General features: G+C 41.5%; 5 pseudogenes; 2 read left to right on the top strand and 3 right to left on the bottom strand.

Moving 5' to 3' along the window:
- Positions 1–366: 366 nt before the first annotated feature.
- Positions 367–3,663, bottom strand: ARHGAP42P4 (ARHGAP42 pseudogene 4; annotated as a pseudogene).
- LOC100420171 (fatty acyl-CoA reductase 2 pseudogene) lies at positions 8,094–25,455 on the top strand (annotated as a pseudogene).
- Positions 10,821–14,013, bottom strand: USP10P1 (USP10 pseudogene 1; annotated as a pseudogene).
- On the bottom strand, positions 21,763–22,934 carry SSBP3P5 (SSBP3 pseudogene 5; annotated as a pseudogene).
- Positions 22,711–23,218, top strand: LOC100422528 (pleckstrin homology domain containing B2 pseudogene; annotated as a pseudogene).

Genomic DNA, 26,526 nt, shown 5'->3' with positions numbered 1-26,526 from the left:
AGATTATAATAGCATGTAAAGAGTTTTATACAGTTAATACCTGAGAGTCTGCACAGTGGGGAACTCCGAAGTAATATGTAAGGTGTCAAGAACAAGCAGGTCAGGACTGTGGCACTCAAAGGGCAGGTAACCAGCTTTTCAGTAACATTTTTAAGTAGCACTTTCAGAGATCCTTAGAGAATGCCAGGCAGTAAAGGACACATCTCAAAATCCATACAGCAGATTTCTGGTTTCCAAGTTTATGGGATATAGTACTTAATAAAGTATTTGAAACTCTACAATTGCTATGGAAGAGACATTCTGGAGAGTTACGTATTATCCAAAAATAAATTTTTCAGAAGCAAGAAATTTTAAAATAAGAAACCAACCAAAAAAGAATGGCCAACCATTTAAACCTTTTTTTCCATTAATAAGGAGCTACATAGTCTGCTGGTGAAGAACTTGATAGAAATTGACTGTTTTCACTTAGTGGGCTGATCCCCTTGTATCTGTGTCAGATAAAATCATAGCACTTATTATTTGTTACCGGATACCATGAAGATACTGCCATCCACTAAATAGTAGTAGAGGAAGACAACATAATTTTCTGCAACTAGTCCCGTTTTGCCTTCATAAGCTGCCTTTAACCATCCTGGTTCCACTGATGGGTCCACACTGGAAAATATCGCTCTTTGTGGGAAGGAAAGCTCACGCTGTGCTCTCCTTTATAGGAGTACATGGCTTTGGCTTGGTGCCCAGAAGAAACTGGCTTAGGTGAACCAACATTTTCAAACAGTTGAGCTTTTGCTGCCACTACTGAGCCAGGACGCTGATAGCCATTGCTTGAGGTGGTGTCTAGTCTTAACCTCCTGCACATTTTTGGAGGCAGGTCTGGGTTTGAAGCTTTGGGTGTCTCCTTGGAACCTACAGAAGTTAAGCTTTGAATAGATCCACTGTAGCTAATGTTTCCTTCAGCTGCAGAGATGGATCTGAGAGAAGAAGCAGAAGCTCTTTTCAGTCCTGAAAGCCCATAAGGCCCTTTCTTGACTAGGTCTATGGGTGGGGAAACATCCCCTGGGCTAGTGACCGAAGCAACACTCTGGCAATCTGATTCTGCATCTGTCTTGGTTGCATCTTCTCTAGAACTTGATTCAGGATTAGTTGTCCAGAGACCAAGGCTTTTCTGTCCATTGGAAGATTGGGTTGCAATCCAAGGAATCCCTCCAGATTTCTCCCTGGGCTGGCAGAAAGCTGACTTTGTAGTGCTATTTTGTTCTGAGGAAAGAGAAGAGAGTGACTTGATGCTCCCCATGGGGGTGCTGTCTGTGCTGCTGCTATAGGAATCACTATCAAGTTCAGCCAGGCATGGAGTACACATCCCTCTGGGCTTCCTAGAGCCTGTAGAGAGGCAGATTGCTCATGTCCTTTGGGATCCAGATCGAGACTGAGGCTGTCCTTTGGGATCCAGATCGAGACTGAGGCTGAGGAAGAGGAATGCTTGGGTCTGGAGCAGTATGAAAAATTGTTTCACTGTGCTCTATCAGAATTTCTACACAATATTCTGAAATTTAATATTCACCATAGCAGCCACAGTTTATTCTTGTGCTCTCATTAGAGTTGGGCCAAATATGACACCAAGATTTTAGACAGTCATGAGATTTTGTTGGCTGTGCAGTGATACTTTGACCAGATGTTTTATTAAGATGTCCAGCATCTCTCTGTTTTTCTCTGGCAATGTGCACACCAATGCATGTACAGCCTCCACCCTGTAGTTTTGGTCATCAGATTTAACAGCAGTGATACAAATCTTTGTGTAACTTGTAAGTTATCAGAGGTGCTGCAAAGCACCTGAGGTAGTTTTTCAGCCCACTCATTATTGTCTTATTGTCCCACAGTTCAATATCAATATCAGGAGGGGATTTAGGAGAAAATATGATATTCACGAGTTTTTGAACTTTGGAGTTCACTCCTCCTATTCAGTAGAGGCCTAAAATGGTGATACCACTGGTTTCCACAGCTTGAATGCAGTTTCTCACAAAATTGAACCCTGCTTCATTCAAATACATTTCTTCTTTCTTGCTTATAATGTCAGGCAGAGTATAAAGTGGTTCCTTCCCATCCGTGGCTTCAAGCCAGAGTTTCCTATTAGCTTCTGAGAAGGCCTGTAATGTGATGATCCCATGGCTTTCAACTACTTGTATGTCGAAGCAGAATTGTTTGTCAATTGAATCTGTCTTTTGTTGGATACAAGATTTTGAACATTTCCGGTGAGCTAGTAACAAGGCTGTTTAATCCATGTAAAACCAAGTGGTCATTTCTCCTGGACATGCAGATAGCCTTGCAGATTTCACCCTTTGCATCAACCCCTCTACCTCTTGTCAAGTACTTTCAAAATTATTCCTTGTATTCTGCAAGTCGAACTGCAGCTGTTGCTTATTTGGTGCAAATTCCTGGGCAAGTTCATATCCCTCGGGGTAAAAAAGTAAATAAATCCTGAAGAAATGACAAAAGCAGTTCAACAAATTCAAACTTCTGTTTTTCTTGAACCTCTTGAATTTTAAAGACATATTCTTTTTTCTTTTATTTTTATTTATTTGTTTATTTATTTATTTTGAGACGGAGTTTTGCTCTTGTTGCCCAGGCTGGAGTGCAATGGTGCAGTCTCGGCTCACTGCAACCTCTGCCTCCTGGATCCAAGCGATTCTCCTGCCTCAGCCTCCCGAGTAGCTGGCTTTACAGGCATGTGTCACCAGGCCCAGTAATTTTGTATTTTTAGTAGAGACGGGATTTCTCCATGTTGGTCAGGCTGGTCTCCAACTCCTGACCTCAGGTGATCCACCCGCCTCGGCCTCCCAAAGTGCTGGGATTACAAGCGTGAGCCATTTAAAGACATTCTGATGATGCTTCATAGAAGTTCTGATGTGCTCAATCAATTTGTGTATCTGCCTCTTGCAAATGAGACTCCTTTTTCTTTGCAGATAAATTTAAATGCTCTTCAAGGATAGAGTAATATTTTTCACTCTCTTTGTCAAACTTCTTTCCACCTTTTGCTGCACCTATCTGTTCTTTTTGAAGTTTCTCAAGTGGTGCAATTAATACATCATTAGCGTTTTGGATCAGTCTTCGCTTTTCTTCTACTGCAATGAGTAGTCTTGCAAATTATTTTAGTGACTGACCAATACTAATTTCATCATCTGTTTCAACATCACCAATACATTCAAATTGGAAATCTTGTAATGACTGGGAAAATTTCTGCACTGCCATAGACAGATCTCCAACCTGGGTAGAGGTGTGTTACTGAAGGAACTCAGGGTTCCTTTGGAAAGGATGAAAGGGCAAGGGAACTGGGCAGGCAATCAACATTACCTGTCCTCAACGCCCCAGTGAGCAGAGAGCCGTCCTTAATGAGCTCCTTGATGAACTTGTTGGTTCGCTCCAGCTCAATCTGGTGACACTGCAAGCGCTCCCTAAAATCCGGGCTGTCCAAGTAGTAATCACTGAACTCCAGAGTGGGCAGCCCCATGGCACAGGCGCTGCCAGCGGCGGCCGCTGGCACGTCCGGGCCAGTGGTCAGGGCGGGGGCAGCTGGAGGCCGCGGCGGGCGCTGGGGCAAGCCAGGGGACTCGCTGGCAAGCCAGGGGACTGATCGCTGGAAGGAAATGGGACCGCGCGCCGCGCCGCCTGAGCCGGGCTCAGTCTTCCTCCCCCTGGGCGAGGCGAGCACAAGCCTGGCGGAGGGCCTAGGCGCAGGTCTGCTCAGGTTGTTGTCAACGAGAGGCATCCTCGTTGGGAGCGCTGGGACTGCGAGCAACACTGTTGATTATTAAAGAAGCACACAATAGAAGTGCTAATTTTATTTTACGAGTTCCTTGATAATTTTTAGACTCTTTTGTAGGAAAAAAAAAAGTAGTGTGTTTATGCTTGCCCCAGGCTTCCCTGTATAAAAGCTGCTTTTTCTCAACTTTCAAAAATGAGTTTCTGATTGACATTAATGATTCTGTTAAATCTCTATATAAGGCAAAGGCAATTGGGAACATTTGGAAAGGCATTTGGAAACTTCCAAAATTATAAATATTTGCACTTAAACTTCCAAAGCCAGTTGTGTTCATTAGTTTTTTTTAAAAATTTTTCCTAAGAAATTATCTCACAAAAAGCAAGAGGCCTCTAGTGTAACTAGTTTTCAGTTTTCCTGTTACTGGAGTCAGATCAGCTGAAGCATGTTCAACCTCTCCCCTGTGGGCCAGTTACAGGGGAAGGAAGGAAGGAAGGGGGAAAGGGAGGGAGGGAGGAAGAGAGGGAGGGAGGGAAGGAAATGTAGTCCTGGGGATACACTAACAGTTCCAGAAACAGAAGCAATTTATTTTCTCAATTTCTTTCTTACCTTCTTTTACACTATCATTCACTAATTCAATCACCAGCATGGTTTTACATGTCCAGCTTCTTTCCTGTTCTTAAAAATCTCTTCCAATCGCACCGTCTTTTTCTTAAAAGCTTCAAATTTCCCGTAGTTATTTTATTCAAGAGCCATGAGGTTCAACATGATTTTGTCATACACTCTGGATCACAGAATAGAATCAGCAACCTTGGCATAGCCCAACACACACACACAAACACACACACATACACACACACGACACAGCTTTCTGACCAGCATCTTTTGGAAATGGAGTACTGCTGTGGAAGTAGAAAGGGAATTTTCCTGTCATTAGGGACCTACAATGTGGTAGGCACTAAGACAAACATTTGACTTCATTACTCTAATCCTCAGAAATCTCTGTAGTGTGCCTATTCCTATATCACAGATGAGATATTAGTTCATGAAAGCTGTCCTCTATCCAGGGTTATGTAATTTGTGCCCAGTTATACAGCAAAATTGGAATGCAGGTCTCTAATCTCTAAAGCCCATACTTTCCCTACTGTAGTTTATTGCCTCTCCTAGGAAATTTCTTCCTCCATGACAATATCATGAAGAAGGGGAAACTATTGCTTGTCACTTCTGAGTTAGTATCAACACTTCTTCCATCCTCTAGCACGAATAATGTAGCGACACCACCAATTCTGTTGCAGAGCAGAAATAATCTTAAGGTTGTTCAACTTCCTAGCCACCCTAGTTCCTTTCCTGCCCAGCTGCAAGAAAGAATTATTAAAGAACTCTGTGAAATTGACCTTTGGTGTGGAAAGAAAACATGACAAGATGGTGAATCAAACATTGTGTTGCATTTAGCATTTATTATAGATTACTATGCAAAATGAACTAAAATTTTGTTAAATGCAAAATTGTCTATAAGAACAGCATAATATGTGCTTAATCCTACTTCTCTGCGATCACTTGATAAGTTAGTCAAATGATTGGCATTTTAGACATGATGGTGCAGAGAGGTAAGTAATTTGCCCCAGGCACATAGCAAATAAATGGCAGAATCAGAATTCAAATCCAGTCTTTCATGGCTCCAAAGGGCCTGAGTTCTTTCCAATACACTAATGGTTCTCAAATTCAGAGTGTATCAGAATTACTAGAGAGTGTGTTCAAAGTAAAGCTAGATGCCCAAGTTTGACACTGCTGAATGAGAATTTCCAGGGTCAGGACATATGTTTGTTTGTTTGTTTGAGCAACTTCCTAGGCAACCCTGCTATATGCCGAAGTTTGACGGCCATACCACTATACCATGCTGCCTTATGGAGTTATAGAAATGATCCTTGCTAAAGCATTAAAAACGTGTCGACTAATCTTTACATCTTATGGGAGTTACTGGTGAACTAGCAAAAATTTTAACATTTTGTGAATTTCTGTTAATCTGTACATTGGGTATAATGGTTTTTGCTTAAATTAGAATGTACTTATTTGTGTTTAATTGTTCTAAACTTGGAGCTAATTTGTAGAATTCATTTATTTGCTTTTACTCAGCACTCTACAAATTCTCTGTAAAATGTTACAGTGTCTCTTTCACCTTGGGACACCAAATATTCCACAGAGATTGCCCCTTAGTTTAAGGGACCTTACTCTTTTCTTTTACATATATATATATGTATATGTGTAAGCAGGTCTTGGTGGGTTAATGGGACTAAATAAGACAGTTATTTTTGAAGAGCAAGACTTAGTAAAATAATTAAAGATCAAAGATTCTCATGACTAGAAAAGATTTGATTACCTTCAATGAGCCCAATGAAGTAGAGGCCAAATCTCCTGTGGATACTACCAAAATGAGGTCATGTGGCTAACTCGTTGATTGTTAAGAGACCACATTAAAGGCTTCTGAATTGTTTCAAAAGCGTTATATAAATTTAATGCCCCTACCCCAATTCCTGCTTCTAATAAAAATACAGTGTTAGTGTCTGACTACAGAAGTCATACATGAGGAGTTTATATTTTTATTTTTTACTTTATTTATTAATTTTTTTGAGATGAAGTCTCACTCTGTTGCCCAAGCTGGAGTGCAGTGGCACAATCATGGCTCAGTGCAACCTCCACCTCCCACACTCTCATTTTTATAGAGTTTTCCTGACTGTTCTCATTGCATATACTTCTTGATTAAATTTAAGATAATCTTGCCAGGTTTTTAAAAATCTTGGGAGTTTGGTTGGAATTACTTTATAGATATAGAATACTTTAGAAACATTTAGCATATTTAAAATATTGACTCTTCCTATCCAAGAACAATATGTTTTCCCATTTATTCAATTTTTGCTTTCTGTTATTATATTAATTTATGATTAACTTGATATAAATGTTCACATTTGAAAATTTCTTGCATTGTATTCTCTAATTTTTGTTTATATACAGGCAAGCTAATGTTTCTTTCTTTTTTTTTTTTTTTTTTTTGAGATGGAGTCTTGCTCTGTTGCCCAGGCCGGAGTGCAGTGGCGCGATCTCGGCTCACTGCAAGCTCCGCCTCCCGGTTTCACGCCATTTTCCTGCCTCACCCTCCCGAGTAGCTGGGACTACAGGCACCCGCCACCGACCGTGCCCGACTAATTTTTTTGTATTTTTAGTAGAGACGAGGTTTCACCCTGTTAGCCAGAATGATCTCGATCTCCTGACCTCGTGATCCGCCTGCCTCAGCCTCCCAAAGTGCTGGGATTAAGGCTTGAGCCACTGTGCCTGGCCTTTTCATATAATTTTTATCAGTGGACACCTTACTGAACTATAGTACACTTTAGCTTTTTAAAAAAGCTGCTTCTGTTTTCCAGGTATGCAATTATATAATCCTATAGTAATTTTTGTGACTGTCTTTTTAATATCTATATTTCTTCATTAATTTTAGTTTTCTTTCTAATTACTTACAAGGCTAGGACCTCAGAACAATGTTAAGTAGTAGTTGTGACTGCAGGCATTATTTCTAGCCCTGGCTTTACCAGCAGTATTCCTAGCTTTTCACCATTAAGAATGACATTGGCTAGCAAATTAAATACATATTGTTTAATCATTTTATTCCTATTCTAGTGAATTCATTTAATGAAATTGGAAATGAAAACTAAACATCGTCTTAAACTTTTCAAAATACATACAGATTATTATATAGTTTTTCTCTTTTTGAGTTAAATTAAATTAATAAGTTTCCTGGTATTCGATAAACCATGTATTCCTAGAATGAAGTATTTCATTGTTATCACATACTGTCTATATAGCTTTGTATTCCAGTAGTTGCAATTTCAGATTTTGACATCAATTTTCATGTCTGGCCTGGAACTTTATAACAACTTATATTGCTCATTTAAAAATCCACTGTTGCTTCTCTCCAGTTTATTTATATTTTCCAATTTCTTCAGTTAGATGCTTAATTTACATGTTTTTGTTCTTTTAATGGCTGCTTATAGAAGCACCTTTGTAAATTCAGAGGATTGTGATTCTTTTTCCAGTTGATTAGAGCCAAGTGACCTCTAAATATGCCATACAGTGCATCAGTGAATAGGGTTTATGTACACAAACACATCATCAATACATAAGACATTCCAAGTATCACATAACTGTGCAGCCGTGCCCCATCCTTTTCTTCCTGGTGTTTTGGTGCAGCCACCAAAATCTGATAGGTATGCCAGTTATGGGAGTAGGTGCAGTTATAGCAAGGCATGATGCTGACTTATCTCACTGTATTTCCTTCTGCTTAATCTTCTGTAGACATGCTGTGCAACTTAACATCACTGCCACCCAGAAGCTCTTACGGCTAGTCAGATGCCAAAGCTGGAAGCCTTTATACATATCTCTACTGCCTTTTCAAATGGTAACCTGAAGCACATCGATGAAGTTGTTTATCCGTGCCCTGTGGAGCCAAAAAAAAAAATCGTCGATTCCCTTGAGTAATTGGTCAAATAAAGGGATCAAGGTGTGAGTAGAATGTTGCTCTCTTTGATTCTTTGTAGCTGTCTATTAATGAGATGATGAAGAGAAACAGTTTTGCAGCAAAATGCTTTGAAACGGTGCTAGCCTTAGTTACCTTGTCCCTGTTACCTCTTTCATCCCCTGGTGGGGAATATACTGCTGAAAGAGAAGGGGGATAGAAAATTCTTAAAGAAACATTTTGCTAAATTGTATAGGATTGCATGAGGTACTTGGGAATACTATACAAAGAAGTGGTTTCTCGCTTCTTAATGAACTTAGCATTGTCACTAGATAAAGCAAGTACAATGAATAGTATAAAATTTCAGAAGAAACATTTTTGATTCCGACATGAGTTTGGCATAGCTCCACAACTAACTAGCTGTGTGACTTTGAGAAAGTCCCTTGGCCTCTCTGAACCCCAGGTCCTTCATTTGTAAAATGGGCCCATTTGATTGTTGTGAGGTTGAATAAAGTTATATAAAACACTTATTGCAGTGCTAGGGAGTGTTTAATATCAGTTAATCAAATGATTAGTAAAGAAGAACTAACGAAGAATAAGAATTGCTCCAAGATCTGGCAGAAGTTCTCTTGACTTCTTTGGCTGAGACACCCTTTCCTTACTGTCCTATTATGCAAGAGAAATAGTGTCTAGGATTCTTCTCTTCTTGCCAACCAGCAGAAACCACTTTCATCCTAGGACACAGCTTGGGTCTCAGGATAGGTTTGTTTTCTGTTTCTTTATTCTGCTCCATTTCACTAAGTTTACTTTGCTTTTTGTTCAATTTTTTTTTAAACTCTACATAAAAAGTATTATACCAGAAAAATGGACTCTTTCACAGTAAATTTATTACATTATAATTTTCTATAATACTGTATTTACATTTAATATATACTCTTTAAAAACTTTTAGCTTAATTAAGAGTTCATTCCCTTCAGGGAAAACATTTTTATCTCCTCCAGCTCTGAGAATAGATATTTTTGTCTGTCATATAAAAATGTCCAGGACAAAGAAGAATGAAAGTCATCTAAAGGACCTGGAGGTTACTTAAAGTTGCTAATAAATGGAGGTTTGCTACATTGATACAGAGAAACATTTTAGAGTGCAGAATTTATCAGGATAGTGGGAGAAAAGGCAGGTGTACTCTGAGGCCCAATGTCAAGGCAGTAAACTATGCTTAAAGCCTCAGAGCATTTTCAGGATAGAATTGACTGCTGTCAGTTATCCTCTTATGGTGTTGTCTCTTGGCAAATGTGATGCTTCCATATTTGATGTACCCAGGAGAGGGGCAGACCCTTTTGTTTCCAGACTGTTTCCTGGGACTGTCTCCACTGCTGATCTCTCTAACGCCTGACAGGTCGTAGTGCAATTTGAGGCAGCAAAATAGTCTGAGAGTTCATCAGAGACAATAAGTAAGAGTTCACTCCTAATGAAGGGCTTCTCTATGTACTCCATACCACCATCTCCAGACACTAAATACCCATGGGTTTCAAAGAAGAATAAACTCACCTCCCAGAGGAAGAGTTGATTTATCTTCAGGCATTCGGCACTTTCCACACTCCCTCAGGTATATGTCAGCCAGACAAGGCTGGTAATTGCTACATGATATATGAACAAACTGCAATTGATATTTTTACAAAATTTTTAATGTTCATCTGTCATTTACTGCTCTCCAAGGATAACAATTATTTGAGCAACTAATTAGAAATAGGTATGAAATTATTTTATCTCAACAGATACATTTTGCATGCAATTAAGGAACAAAGTTTTTTTAAAAAAAAAACAGAGAAAAAGTCATACTTATGATTTGTTAATTCAAAATTAATTAGGACATCCAGGAGCACCTGTGGAGCCTCATTTCTCTCAGCCCTCCCCTTACCTTCATGCTGCAGTCACAAGGAAGTAAGGCCTCCTCTCCTCACACTCTGCCTGCCTTTGCGCTCAAAGCTCTCTGTTCCTAGAGCCTATTTCCCCTTCTGCTTCACCTGGTTAATTCTTACTCAGACATCAAGGCTCCCTGTGAAGCTCTCTGGCTTAGGCAGCCTTCCCAAGTGCCCCATAGTACCCAGCGCTCAGCTTTATTATTGCTTGTAACACAGGTCATTCTGAATGTCTGGTTGCTTATCTACATTTTCCTTTAGACAATGACCGTCTCAATGGAAGAGAATATTTCTTGCTCCTCTTTGCATCTTCAGCTAGGGACTCAATGCTTGCTTGCTGAGTGAAAAGTTTTTGGTGGAACTAGATGATTGTTGTTCATACTGTTCTGACTGTTTTTTTTTTTTTGCTTGTTTTGACTGAAACAAGAATAGATGACAGAATTCCACAACAAGCTAATATTTGGGGATGCAGAAGTCTTATGTGCAAAATATCTATTTATATCCCCACATCTTACCCATTTCTGATTGTTCATTTTTTTCTTCTTAAAGTTTGAATGAAACCTATATGTGAAGCTTTGAATAGCACTTTACATAAAGCCCAGCAACCCCTCTCCACCTATACCATCATCTATGACTATTTCTTTTTTTTAAACCAGCTTTGTGATTTTTATTGATGGGTGACAACTTTATACTCCTAGATATCACTAAACTGTGTACAATTAGGGATGCAGCATTAGAGAAGAGCAGACAGCAGAATTAAACAGAGCAGACTGAAGGAGAGATCTTCATTATTTGTCCATTTTTCATTATGTGTACACAGAAGCATGAATGCAATCTGAAATCTTTTTAATGGCAGTAAAGTTACAATCATCCATCTATGTAGACTAACATTTTAACTCCAAATATTTGATCTGCAATGTCTATGTAAGCAGTTTCCCTCAGCACAATTACTAATTTTTTTCCTGTTAGGAACCGGCAACTTATTTTTTATGTTTATTTTTCTTTTGAAGTAAAAACTAGTTCTTCTTTGATAACTGGCTCATTTTTATCATTTATCAAAAACTAAAGGGTAGGGAAGAAAAATGTGATGGATTAAAACATTTCTTTTTTAAGGAAAGATAAAATTCATTTTCACAAATTTACAAGTGTTGCTGGTGCAGGATTTATTCTACTAAGCAATGAGACTGGGGATCAAATCCACTTTCTTATCTCAGGAATCAGCATTATTTCAGAAATATGGGTTTTTGTGTATTTTTTAAAATCAAGCGACAGTCTGTTTCAACCAAATGATTTTGATTTCAAAGTTAGAGTCAACAGAAGCTATGTTGTGCACGAACCCCAAGGCATCCCCTTTTCATTCTAGCCCATTTTTGCAAAGGGAGAAAGAGTTTCTCTCTAAAGAGCCAATAAAGAGAGGCGGGAAGTGAGTGTGAGGTGGTGTCCTACAAAGCGGACACTGGGCTCACACACAGCGCACACAGGGTTTACAGCAGGTCCACTCGGCAGTAATACAGCAGATGGGCTGTGCGTTCAGCAGTTGGTTTCACCACCTGGTACTGGTTGATCACCTTGACTGTCTGGTCATCGATGCGCAGCCAGCCATTCAGACCGATCTGGAAGACGTCTCTAGTGTAATGTCCACCCGTCGCACTGTTGCCGTGATGGTAGACCACTGCAAAGAGCCGATAGGTTCTGTGGCATTTAAAATTCTTATTTTTAACCCCTGGAGAAAGCAGTTCTTTACTAATTTCCAAGTCCACAGGATATTCAGTATTTTTGATAAGCTTCTGACACCACCAGTCTTCTCATAAACGAATCGTTTCAGGTGCAGCACGAGGAGAGGAGGGAGTTTTTCCAGAGTCACTCTTCGACTTATCTCAACTTCTTGTTCGGTTTTTGTGGTATAACCTTGGACAGATTCTCTTGCCACCAAGCTCTCCAGTGCATCCTGGACTGTGCGTATTTTGTCAGACTGGATATCCAACTGCAACGTGAAAAATGGCTGCAAAGTGGCAGATTCTTTTGCACTCTGCTGGTAAACCACAGACCTGATGTGGCCACCAAAAATGCGGTGATTGGAGTCTGAACAAAATCCGCCTGGCAGGTGACGGAAGTCTTGTTCCGGGGGCCCACTTGTTCCCATTCATCCTCGCTTCCTTCACCTTGTTTTTCTTGCTCTTCTTCATTGACTGGTTTTTGGGGCCATTGGAAATCGCACGTTTTTCATTATTTGGTGAGAGAAGCTTCTTTAGGTTCAACATTTCCTCATGAAGTCCATTTAGAATGAAGCCTAAGTATTCCTCAGCATCTTCTTGTCGATCCTTTTCAGACAGGCTTGACTTGTTAACTGTCAGGAGTCTAAATATACGTGGGCTCAAAGGCAACTCCAGGGTGAATATCCCTCACGATTTCATCTCCAAGAGCTTGTCCGGGTTTTGGAGGTACTGGCATATTAGTAAACTCATTCATTAGCCAAACAAAGCTGTCTATCTTGGGTGTTGACGTACAGGGCCTTTGCACTTTGGAATACAGAGGAATGAACTTCATCAGGTGGTACATCGGCGGGAAAGCAACCAATGCCTGGCTACAGGATCCCCTGAAACTGGAACAAGCCCTTCTTTGACTTCAACCTGCTTTTCAGAAACCAGGGGAGATATGGCGGGAGGGGAATACTTAGTTTCCACATAGGCCACCGGCCAGGAGGAAGAGGGCTTAGAATCGTGAAAGAGACTGGCCCAGGACCTGGGCTGGCTGACAGGAAGGGTGCCTGATGCAGAGCCCGTGCCGTCAGCAGGAGGTGATGGACTCTCGGGTTTGGCTGGGTCCAAGTCTATGCTTTCCGTGGTGTGCAACTCCACCCCGTTGGTAGCTGTGCCCTCACCCGAGGATTCGAGTATTTGTCCATTAGCAACTCCAAGGTTTTCAGTAGTATCGGTACGAACGCAGGGCTGAGCCCCAGCTGTCCTTGACAGGGTGTGTCTGCCAGCCCCTGCAGGGAAGCAGGACTGACCAAAATCAACCCCGGGACCCCCCTCCTGCTGCCCTGCAGTCCCGGTGTCTCTGCCAAGTGCTCCGGGGAAAGGACTGTCAGGCACAGTGTCACTGACAGAGTCCGTGGAGTTCTGGGGGCTGTCAAAAGTCCTGGGCGTAACTGACGGGGGCATGTCACCCATAAATTCTGCATCCTCTGCACTGACACTGTTCTGCTGAGTTGGCATGCCATTGACCAGGGCTTCTGCGGAAATACTATCATCGCCACCATCTTTCAAACAGCTGTAATATCCAGGTGGCTGCTTTTTCTTCTTTTTACGCTCCCTTTGTCCAAGACCACCTGAGACACCATCATTTTCCAAAACTTCCGCCTCCACATTAGAACTTCCATCCAAAGCGAGGGCACAGCCTGGGTACTGGTCGATGGAGCCGTAGCTTGCTTCTTTAGTGATACCATCAGGGGTTCTTTTGGAAGCTGTACAACCGAGAATAAATTCGGGGGCCTGAGGGTTCAGTGTGCTTGAAATACTGTAGCTGGGGGTTCTCAGCAAAGTGTCACTGGGTTCAATGACTTCATTGACACCAAACTCAATTCTCCGATATTCTTGTCCATCAGGTAGTTTATCCCCAGCTTGTGTGCCACACAGAACTGTTCCACTGCATGGAGGAAGCTCAACTGAAGATCGAGGAGTCACAAAGAACTGATTGAATTCATCAGGGCTAAAATCTCCAAAAATATACTGCGGGCTGTGGAGGGCCATGGCTGCCGGTTTCAATGGGACTCGGCGCTCCTCCGGCTGCTCACGCTGCCTCCCCCGCCGCCGCCATCTTCTCCCCCGCACATACACCCATCTATGACTATTTCAATAACTCCTATAACAGATGGAATTTTTGCAAGTTTTAGAATAACAAATAACATTAAAAATCGTTATGAATAAACATTAATTTACCTAAATGCAGGTTTAGTTTTTTGCTTTAAGAAAATACTTTTGATGAGTTCTCTATTTAGTAATTGGCCTGTGTTAAAAAAGAATTATTTTCAAAGGTTTTTAGGTTTCTGTTTCCCCTGGGAGTTTGTTTTTCTTTCAGTGAAACAGAGAAATACCTAGGGAACAGTTTTTTTTTTAAACAGTAACTTCAAGGGGTCTAGCAGCTGTCATTTGCTCTTAGTATTTCAGCTGTTCTTAAGGAATCAGGAGTTAGACATCAAGATAATCTAGAAGCTGTACTCTGGGCATTGTGATCTCAAAAAAATAGCCATGACAATGTAAAAGGAAACTTTATTTTTCCAGAAAATCTGTTGAATGGGAATTCCAGTTCTGGAAGATAAAGAAGGATTTGCATTTTTGGCCAGGACCTTTCTGATGGCTTGGGCAGCAGTGATACTGCTCAGTGCTGTTAATAAAGTGAATGGGACTGTGAACTTGAACCTCATGCTTACATCCTGGTCCCTACCTTTGCAAGCCTAACGTCTCTCTTCGTTCAGCTCCCTCCATTTTCTATTCGGCCTATATCCTGAGACTGTCGGGCCTGAGCTCCCTTTCTTTAGCCCCTATCTAAAAATTTTAGATTACCTTGGCTCTGAAATATTCCAGAAAGATGAAATTTGATTTTGTTAGCACAAAAACTTTAGCATGTCAGCATAAAAATATTTTAAAATAACTTAAATGAGAAGTTAATGTTTGTAATGAGTAGGACAAGCATGGCCATTAATCAGTGTTAAGCAACTAATTTTCCTGGCTCTTATACCTGTAGTTTTCTTCTGGCCCTCATCCCAGCCACCAGTTCCCATCCTGACTCATCTCTATCTTCATATTACCAGCTTCTGCCTATTTGCTGTATTTACCTTGGAAATTTAGGGGCATAAATGGATCAGGGATTGCCAGTGAAATTCTGGTTTTCCAGAATAACAGCTTAAGTAGAAAGTTTATTTTTTAAAATGCACATAACTGACTAAGAAAGGCAGAGTTTTACGGTTGGTGCTTTTCTTATGTTTTAGGTCAAGGTAACTCCTCTTAGGGGAACCAGTGTAGAGGAAAAGGGCTTCTGCGCCTGTATAAAAACCTGAAATAACTAGAATTAGGAACTAGAAAAATGGAATCACAAATACCTATTGCTTTATTGAACATATGTTAATAAATCTGAATTAAGAAGGGAAGGGAGGAGATGAGTCATTATTGAGCAATCACTGTGAGTGAGATGCTTTCACAGACATTTATTTCCATAACTTAATATTGTAGGGTTGATTTATTATCACTGCTATACTAATTAAGGAGCAAAAAGCTCAGGAAGGCTAAGTAACTCCTTGAAAGTCTCTCAAGACTTTCTTTACCTTTCAAGAAAGGTATCCATGGCCACTTGATTCTGAAGCTCATGGTCTTTCCAGTCTACTCACATACTCGGCAGTGTTAGAGATTAAAAGGTGCTTTCTTAAGATATAGACTGTTCCCAAGGAGCTCACGTCCCAGACAAATAGAACAGGGCAGAATTATACACGTGGGGTGATGGGGAAACAGTACATATTAAGTCTGGTGGAGTGGAGAGAGGCATATGAGGTGACTTGGAAGAGTGGGAGGAGTGTGGATAGGTGAGATGTGCACAGACACCAGGCAGGGCAACTGGAGCTGGGAAACCCAGGTGTGTTTGGGACACAGCCAGAAGTCCCTCTTGGCAGCACATGTGTTATGTGTAGGGAAGCAGTTAGAGATCAAGCTGGAGAGGCAGGTTGGGCCGTACTGTGGAGATTTTGCATACCATGCAGAGGAATTGGATTTAATTCTCTAGGCAGTGGAGATCCATTGAAGGAGGGCCATGTGTGTGCATGTGGTTTTGTGTAGTTTTTGGTTGCTTGTTCATTTGTTTTTATCGTGGAAAGACACTGATGAAAGTGGGCTTCAGTAATATTAATATGGCCAGGGGCTGGGGGAGGCAGTAGATTAGCATGTGTATTGGGAAAGAAAAAAAAAACAATAGGACATGGCTACTGCTTTGCTTATGGGATTACACATACCAAATTAACTCCAGATTAGAACATGCATACTTGCCATGTTTTACATTTCTAGTGCCAGGGATTTAATTTTTTTTAATAAATGAGAAAGTAAAGTTTATTGTGTTTAAGTATTTTTAATGAGATCATGTTTTTAGTGAGAACTGGGACCAAACAGATTTTCTGACTCCAAATAGATATTTCCATTGGAACAGATCTGTAAGTATACAGACATGCAAACACATATTTCTTTACTGCTCATAATTAAGTGTCAATTAGTCCTTATTAGAATGTGGGATGTATAAATGTAAGAGAATTTTCAGTTAAAATTGACAGATACATTTTTTAATTGTCCTAAAATGGATTTAATTATTTTTCTTTAATGTTATTTTTATGAGAAGTGATATAACTTTATTGATAATGCATACAATAACTCTTTGTTTTGCACATTGTTTGGAAATACAATGTATTTTGCAAGTAACTAAAGCCCAATTTAAATTAAAATTTTAAATTTTCTATCTTTTTAATTGTGATTATTATTATACTTTAAGTTCTGGGATACATGTGGAGAACGTGCAGGTTTGTTACATAGGTATACACATGACATGGTAGTTTGCTGCACCCATCAACCTCTCATCTACATTAGGTGCTGGAGATGATGTGGAAAAAGAGGAACACTTTTACACTGTTGGTGGGAGTGTAAATTAGTAAAACCATTGGGGAAGACAGTGTGGCTATTCCTCCAGGATCTAGAACCAGAAATACCAATTGACCTCACAATCCCCTTTCTGGGTATATGCCCAAAGATTATAAATCACTGTACTATAAAGACATGCACACACATGCTTATTGCAGCACCGTTCCCAATAGCAAAGACTTGGAACCAACCCAAATGCCCGTCACTGATAGACTGGATAAAAAAAGTGGCACATATACTCCATGGAATACTCTCAGCCATAAAAAAGGATGAGTTCATGTCCTTTGCAGGGACACGGATGAAGCTGGAAGCCATCATCCTCAGCAAACTAACACAGGAACAGAAAACCAAACACCACATGTTCTCACTCATAAGTGGGAGATGAACAATGAAAACACATGGACACATGGAGGGGAACATCACACATTGGGGCCTGTGGGGAGCTAGGGAAGGGATAGCATTAGGGGATTTAATTCTTTCAAAATTTAATTCTGTTGAAATGTTTACTTCAAGAAGCAATGCATTTTTGAGAGCTAATCCTGATCTATTCAAATCTTAACAACTTAAGTTGATGGAGTGGACTTCTTTTAAATTAGTGATTCCCTAATTTGCCTGACTGTTGGAATTTCCAGGGCATGTTGAAAATACAGATTATCCAGACTCTTACCTCTGCAGATCTATTTAGTGGTTCTAAAATGGCAGCCAGGAGTCTGAATTTTTCCCAGGGGCCCTGTGTAATTCACACTGATGAACAGGCAAGTTTGGGAAATAGTGCCTTAAGGAGATTTTTCATTAAGCAGTCTTCATTTGAAATGAGGATCGTTTATCTTCTAATACTCCTTGCTTCCTCCTTCTCCTGCTCTCCTCGCCTCCTGTTGTCTTTCAGTTCCTAGAAGCTTTAACTGAATGAAAGGTCCTAGTAGATCTGTACCTACTAAAAACCACACTTCTGAAGCTATGTGGCCACCAGAAGACACAGCTAGTCTGCAATGTAAGAAAGGAAAGGTGGTGTGTGCACTGAGGGTACAGGGTTGACGGGCAGGGAAATGGAGACCCTCACAGCCAGTAGCAGTGGCCCTCATCACAGCCCTCCAGGAGATAGGAAAGGAGGTCAGATCTTGGACAGTAGTCTTGCCTTCCTGCTATAGAACACATTGTTAACACCAAAAAAGCTGATCTCTTCTAGGGGAATGGTGAAAGCTGACTCTAGCACTTGTGCTTTTAATTTCAGGGTGGCACAGCTTCTAAATGGCATCTAAGTTGCTGATATAAAAATGAAAATTCTGTGTACTTTGATATTAGCAGGCTTTAAATACAAGCCAGAATAAGATTAAATTGTTTCTTAATCAAATCGAATAATTTTCACATTGGCAGTCCATTCGGCATCTGGCTCATGTTTGGGCTAGGCTGAGTAGTCCGCGAAAGTCTGGAGGGAAATACAGAGGCCAATTCTCCATAAGCATTAGGTTGAGAAATACCCTGCTTCCCCATGAAAAGTTTAAATTGATGTGACGCCACCTTCACCAAATCGAGGTTGGTCAACACTTTTCACCACTGCCACTGGACACTTTGACTTCCAATTTTGCTTCCTGCTCTATGAAGATATCCCCTTCTTTCCTTTCCCACATTCTCCCTATAACCTCATCTTCCTTTCTTCTACTCTCTCTTATCATTGTCCATCTCTGCTTCCCAAAACCTTATATAGTACAGAAATTGGCCAATCAAGATTACCATGTGGAAGAGCATCCATTTACTGAATAAGGTAGCTGGCTCCTGGGGGCAGAAAAGTGATTAGACACAGAGATAAAAATCATAATCCCTGCTCTCCTGGACTCACTGTCCAATGGGGAGACAGACACGTGAACAAATACAACTTTGTAACTACAACAATCAAGTGAACTATATAATTTAGACTGGAGAAAGAAAGAGCAAATGTTATCATAAGACAGTGTGTCCACTACTTACTCTCTAACAGATTTCCTCATAAACCACTAGGCTTGCCAACTTGTTGCATGAGAAAATTGGAAGGTGAGGGAGGGAAAATACATATGCCTCTTGGCATTTCATTCCATAAATACATAAATAATGTAACTATTAATGATATCATCATGTTGATTCAATAAGTTTGAAACCAAAATTGATAGTAATCTTTAGAAGAAATTATGTATGTGTCTATGCATGTACACACATAGACATACACATAATGCTCTCTGAAATTTTTAATGACTTTATGCTTCTTCTGAAGCAATTCGAGTTTAGTATTTGAGACCCATGGGTCAAAGCATCTTCTTGAGTATACTGAAGAACATTTAGATTAATTTCAGACATGTATTTTGGTTAATATAGTGGTTTTTATCCATGCTAACTTATTTACTGTTTAAAAACATATTGAGAACAAACAACAGCAGCAACCCTGAATTGAGTGAAAGTCCTGAGAAGGGCTTTGCCCAATCAGTGCATATGCATGTTTACACTAATCTCCTGTCTGATCCTAGGAAGTGGCCGAATGAGCTAGCAGATGGTCTCTTTGGCTGTATTATAAACGATAATTTATTTTTATTTGTTTTATTCATTCATTCCTTCATTTTGAGACAGGGTCTCACTCTTTCACCCGGGCTGGAGTAGGGTGGCAGAATCACAGCTCACTGCAGCCTTCAACTCCCAGGCTCAAGCAATCCTCCTGCCTCAGCCTCCTGAGTAGGTGCATGCCACCAAGCCCAGCTAATTTTTAAAAACTCTTTTTGTAGAGACAGGGTCTTATTATGTTGCCCAGGCTGGTCTCAAACTCCTGGACTCAAGCGATCCTCCTTCCTTGGCCTCTCAATGTGCTGGGATTATAGGTTAGAGTCACCACACCTGGCCAGAAATGACATTTTAAAACCAACTATTACCTACACAGATGTATGATGCTCCCTTGTTGTTTTCTTTAAAAATAGGAATGCCTTAGATTTTTGGCTCATTTTGTTTTATCAAAGATCTTAAATGCAGTTGTGAAAATTTTTGTTTACCCTCATAATAGCCTGAGAATTTAGAATGAATATAATTATTGCTATTTTCACAAGTAAAATTGGAATGAGAAGATTAAACAGTGGAATACAGGTGTAAATAACAACAGCAGAGGCAAGCCATCTATAGAATATTAAAATTTCTTGCATGTGTGTTACCAACATTTTCTCATGCCTGAAATCCCAGCACTTTGGGAGGCCGAGGCAGGTGGATCACCTGCGGTCAGTAGTTCGAGACTAGCCTGGCCAACATGGTGAAACCCCGTGTCTACTAAAAGTTCAAAAATTAGCCAGGCGTGGTGGCAGGCACCTATAATCCCAGCTACTCAGAAGGCTGAGGCAGAAGAATTGCTTGAACCTGGGAGGCAGAAGTTGCAGTGAGCCCAGACTGCACCATTGCCCTCCAGCCTAGGGGGGACAAGAGCAAGACTCCGTCTCCAAAAAAAAAAAAAAAAAAAAACCCAAATAAACCAAACCAAACCAAAACAACAACAACCAAAAACAACATTTTCCAAGACAAGCAAAGCTACTAAACTTTATAAGGCCCCATCCCCCCAAGTATTATCCTTTCCATGTACTCCAACATTAACGACAGCAACTGGTACTAGCCACGTGACATACAATCCCAGCACATTGTTGGGCTCTGATGTTTTCTAGGAATTTTTTCTTTACAGCCTTATTGATATTAAGCTCTATTTTCTCAAGACCTGGTTTTTATAAACTGTATATTTTTGCAGTTGAGGGAAAATGATCTCAGGTCAGTCAATCCACTGTTGACCCACAAATGAAATAAGGTAGGATTATTGTTAAGATGGAGAGGTGTCTGCATCATCCTACACTTTTTCCCAGCCTCCAGGTGACCATATAATTAAAATATCCTTGATATTTCTATGTAGTTTAAGTTGTTTTTAATTCTAGAACCCCTCAATCTTTCTCCATTCAATTTAAATGAAAAGTCATTTGAGTATCCAGAACACACTCAGCACTCATAGAAGCAAAGCAAGAAAAATGGAAACATTATTGTCAATGCCCATGTTCTACCCCAGGATGAAATGAGGCATTAATACTGAGAGTTGTGATTCTGAATAAGTCTTAACCTTCTGCACATCTTAGTTGTTCAAAAATGTGTCATGTCAGCAAGGTGATAACAGTGAAGATTTTCTACAATCAAAGTAGTATTGTTATGTTCTGTTGTATAAAATAGAAATAAATGTACCACATTGATCAGAAAAATCACACTAGCATATTCTGGCAGCTTAATTTTTTTATTATTGTACTTTAAGTTCTAGGGCACATGTGCACAACGTGCAGGTTTGTTACATAGGTATACATGTGCCATGTTGGTTTGCTGCACCCATTAACTCGTCATTTACATTAGGTACTTCTCCTAATGCTATCCCTCCCCTAGCCTCCACGCTAGGACAGGCCCCTGTGTGTGATGTTCCCTGCCCTGTCCAAGTGTTTTCATTGTTCAATTCCCACCTATGAGTGAGAACATGCAGTGTTTGGTTTTCTGTCCTTATGATAGCTTGCTCAGAATGATGGTTTCCAGCTTCATCCATGTTCCTGCAAAGGACATGAACTCATCCCTTTTTGTGGCTGCATAGTATTCCATGGTGTACATGTGCCACATTTTCTTTCTTTCTTTCTTTCTTTCTTTCTTTCTTTCTTTCTTTCTTTCTTTCTTTCTTTCTTTCTTTTGTTTCATGGAATAAAAAGTTCGGCCTTTTTACTGCATGAAACTAAAATTGGAAAAGGTGGGCGTGGATGGGGTGGGAGGGGGTTGAGGGGAGCAGGAGATGCCCTCTCCACCAGCTCCTGGGTAATGACACCTCACTTCTTGCATAATTTCTGGCATCTTCCTGCCTGCAATGCCAGCTCTCTCAGCATCTTGGAGAAGGGGGGATCACACACTCATCGTCGTGCTTGGAGAGTAATTGTCATTCTGAAAGGAGTGGAGGAAGTTCCCTCCTAGCTCGCCGTCATCTCGAGGGGTGCCTGGAAGATTGCTAATACTATTCACGTTGTTAGGAGAATTTTTTGGAAGTCATTTATGTCGCCTGACCCTAACAATCCGTTCATGTGGTGTGGCTCCATGCCACCCATGCTGCCCATTGGACCGTCCAAGCTGGGACCCATCAGGAAGTTGGACCGGCTGCCTCCAGGTGGCACCAGATTAATCATTGTGTAGATGTTGTCGCTGGAATTTGTTGAATCTGAGGGACTGGGCATAGTGGGTGTTCCTGGAGGGCCGCCACCACCAGGGGGTGTCCCACATAGGTACCAGGTGATGAGGAGGAGTATGGAATTGAGTTAGCACTGTTAGGATTGGGCCAGGGTCTGCCAGCTCCCGGGCCCATGTTAATCCCGGGCGTGGCGGGGCCGAGGGAATTGGGTGGTGGTCTCATGCCACTGCCGTAATTCTGTGGGCTGGGACTCATGGGCCCCATGCCTTGGGGAGGGTTCATTCTCTGCATTGATCCTCCCATGTGGGGGTGGCCTTGCTGTCGTGTGGGATCCATGGAATTGGGCAGCAATGGCTGTTTCCCAGGAACTCCTCCGGAGGAGGCTGGTTTCCCATTCTGATCGGGGGGCCTGGGGCCGCCTGCATATCGCGGTGACATAAAAGGCTGACTGTGGGGTCCCATCATGCTGCTAGGATTGTGAGGTGGAGGCTGTGCATGCGGCGAGGGCAGTGACCCCGGAGGACCCTGAAAGAAACCTGGCGGGACTCGGCCTCCCGGCATCCCATCGTTGGGGGGAATGTTGCCAAGCACGGGGCTCCGGGCAGCTGCTGCACTAGAATCAGGAAAGGCTTTTGCTTCACTTGAATGTTCACAAGTGTCTCTCCTTTTAGGAGCTGCACAGTAAAGGTCCCAAAATACACACCACCACGAGTGCAAAAACCGAGGCTGTTCTCCCAACGTGATGTTTTTTTTTTTCCCAGAGAATCTCCGATAAGAAGGTCTGTGCAGATTTCTGTGTTCCTACCTGCAGTAAATATTCGTAGACGTATAAAGCTAACTTTTCCCCAGCCTGCCCGTCCGAGGGCACCAACGAGCCTTTGTCTTTGGCAAACATGGTTTGCAGGGAAGAGGGCTCCAAGCCTCGCCACAGCCGCCACCGCCCCGGCTCTCCCGAGCTGCCCCTGGCTCCCGGCCCCCTCCCAGGCGCTCGCTCGCTCTCTCGCTAGCTGGCGCTCTCCTCGCCGCGCTCCCCTCCCTCCCGACCAGGCGCTGGCTCCGCGCTCTTTTCAGCTGTCAAAGCATCAGCCCGGACCACGGCCCCATCGCCCTGGAACTCCTCCCGTGCCGGCTGGGCCTGGGGTGCCGCCGCGGCCTCCCGAAAGGCCGCCAGGTCTCCGCTAGCTCAGGCGCTCGCCAGGCTCCGCCTGCGCCGCCCTCTGCGCCTCCAGCACCGCTGCGGCCGCCGCCGCTGGTCTCATGTGTCACATTTTCTTAATCCAGTCTATGGTTGATGGACATTTGGGTTGGTTCCAAGTTTTTGCTATTGTGAATAGTGCCGCAATAAACATACGTGTGCATGTGTCTTTATAGTAGCATGATTTATAATCCTTTGGGTATATACCCAGTAATGGAATCTCTGGGTCAAATGGTATTTCTCGTTCTAGATCCTTGAGGAATCGCCACACTGTCTTCCACAATGGTTGAACTAGTTTACACTCCCACCAACAGTGTAAAAGCGTTCTTATGTCAAGCAATGGCAACAAAAGCCAAAACAGACAAATGGGATCTAATTAAACTAAAGAGCTTCTGCACAGCAAAAGAAACTACCATCAGAGTGAACAGGCAACCTACAGAATGGGAGAACATTTTTGCAATCTATCCATCTGACAAAGGGCTAATATCCAGAATCTACAAAGAACTTAAACAGATTTACAAGAAAAAACAAAACAACCCCATCAAAAAGTGGGCAAAGGACATGAACAGACACTTCTCAAAAGAAGACATTTATGCAGTCAACAGACACACGAAAAAATGCTCACCATCACTGGCCATCAGAGAAATGCAAATCAAAACCACAATGAGATACCATCTCACACCAGTTAGAATGGCAGCTTAATTTTTAAAACGCTATATCAATAATTTAAGCACATAGATCTCTCAGCTAGAATAAATGTTACATATTTAATTGACAATATTTTTTTGCTCTCTTAGAGATGTGTAGACTTTGGGTTTATCAAATGGTTCTTTTTTTTTTTTTTTTGAGCTGGAGTCTGGCTCTGTCACCAGGCTGGTGTGCAGTGGTGCGATCTTGGCTGATTACAACCTCCGACTCCTGGGTTCAAGCGATTCTCCTGCCTCAGCCTCTCAAGTAGCTGGGATTACAGGCATGTGCCACCACACCCAGCTAATTTTTGTATTTTTAGTAGAGACGGGGTTTCACCATGTTGGCCAGGATGGTCTCGATTTCCTGACCTCAATATCCGCCCGCCTCGGCCTCCCAAAGTGCTGGGCTTACAGGTGTGAGCCACTCCGCCAGGCCAGTTCTGACATATTTTTAAGAAAGATTAGGCTGATGCTATGGTAACTCAGTTATTCATGATACATGTCATATTATAAGTAGGAGAATTCAATATTCATGGTTTTGAAGCAATTTCAGAGTACTATAATCACCCCACTTGACAGACTTCAGAATTCATTGGAAATCTCTGGAAATAATTAGCAAGTTATTAGCACAGACTCTAAACAGACCTTCAAAATGCGTTACATAGATTTGCTAGGAGATTGTCAGTCTGCCAAAAGTAGTCACTTTGGTTTGGTTTGCATTGAATGAAAATTTTTAAATGTAAAGCTAAACTCTTCAGGATCACTGCACCGGGTTTCTATGGGACAACACTGAACAGGGCTGCCACTGAAACACCTTGGATGAGAGCCTCAAACTCCCTGAACGCAGCTTCCAGCACACTATTGGGAGAATGACTGGGACTCAAAAATGTGTGCAGTGAATGTACTTAGGAGCTTCTTGGAGAGGAAGTAAAGAGGTTGTATGTAATAACCTCCAGTTTAGTACTACTACAGATAAAGTAGTAGTATTGATAAAGTAATTGATAAATAAATAGTAGTGTTAAAGTCATACTAATAAAGTAGTACTAATAGCCCTATACTAGTAGTAATAATAAAGTGGTATTGCTATTGATTCTATTGGTCTCTCTACCTACCTATCTCTCTAGATGGGAGGGCATAGGATTTGGCTGATGAGATTGGGCTTAGCAGTGAAGAGCAAAGAGCTCATGCATGCTTTGAACAGGTATACCCTCAAACTTGGTATTGTGTGACTAAATTCCAGAACCAAGGCTAAAAGGTGGAAGTTTTGTTTGACTATTTGCATGTCACATTTTCCTTTTGGTCTATTGTCTAACATATGCTGCTAGAATTCTTTTCACTCTGACTACCTTTTACGTGGTTAGACGATGCTGTTATTGACGAGATCACACCCAAGCTGATCAGAGATCCACCCAATTCTTGCACCTACATCAAGGCCTTGGGAGAAATGGTGGTGCAACAGGAGAGCAGAAACCTAACCATCGCCATCATAAGGCCCTCCATTGTGGGAGCAACATGGCATGAGCCTTTCCCAGTAAGCCCACTCACCTGGATTCTGTGTTTTGCTTCCAAATTAAAGTTCTTCTAGCCCAATTACTTTCTGATGTCGTTTCTCCCCCTCCTCCTCCTTCTCCTTCTTCTTTCATCTTCTTCCTCTTCCCCTTCCCCTCTTCCTCCTCCTCCTCCTCTTCCTCCTCTTCCTCCTCCTCAGGATTTATAGCTAAGTGCAGCCAATCAAATATGAACCCATTATACTAGGGCAAAATTCCACTTTGGGATCAGGATTTACTCAGCATGCAGCTTCTCTGGCAGTTACCCTGACTGTCCTAGAGTTGAATGGAGATCTTAAATTAGCTTCTAATTACTCTAGCCTCAAAATTCCCATGGGTGATGGCTTCATATCTTGGCTTTCCCACTATAGTTTAAACATACCGAATGTTCTTAATGGTCAAATTGGTAGTATTGCAACTGCCAGGGTAAACAAGGGTTACAAAGTGCACAGAAGGATCCCAGTTTGGGAATACTGTTTTTCCTAACCTCAGTATAGTGCTATGTCCTTTTAAAAGTACTTTGAATTATGCTATCTTCTTTTTTTTATTATACTTTAAGTTCTAGGGTACATGTGCACAATGTGCAGGTTTGTTACGTATGTCTACATGTGCCATGTTGGTTTGCTGCACCCATTAACTCGTCATTTACATTAGGTATATCTCCTAATGCTATCCCTCCCCTAGCTTCCATGCTAGGACAGGCCCCCGTGTGTGATGTTCCCCGCCTTGTGTCCAAGTGTTCTCATTGTTCAATTCCCACCTACAAGTGAGAACATGCGGTGTTTGGTTTTCTGTCCTTGCGGTAGTTTGCTCAGAATGATGGTTTCCAGTTTCATCCATGTCGCTACAAAGGATATGAACTCATCCTTTTTTATGGCTGCATAGTTCTCCATGGCTTGTATGTGCCACATTTTCTTAATCCAGTCTATCATCGATACAGATTTGAGTTGGTTCCAAGTTGTTGCTATTGTGAATAGTGCTGCAATAAACATATGTGTGCATGTGTCTTTATAGTAGCAGGATTTATAATCCTTTGGATATATACCCAGTAACGGG

Source organism: Homo sapiens, chromosome 14, assembly GCF_000001405.40.
Source record: "Homo sapiens chromosome 14, GRCh38.p14 Primary Assembly".
Lineage (NCBI taxonomy): Eukaryota > Metazoa > Chordata > Mammalia > Primates > Hominidae > Homo > Homo sapiens.
This window is presented reverse-complemented; position numbering and strand designations above follow the sequence as displayed.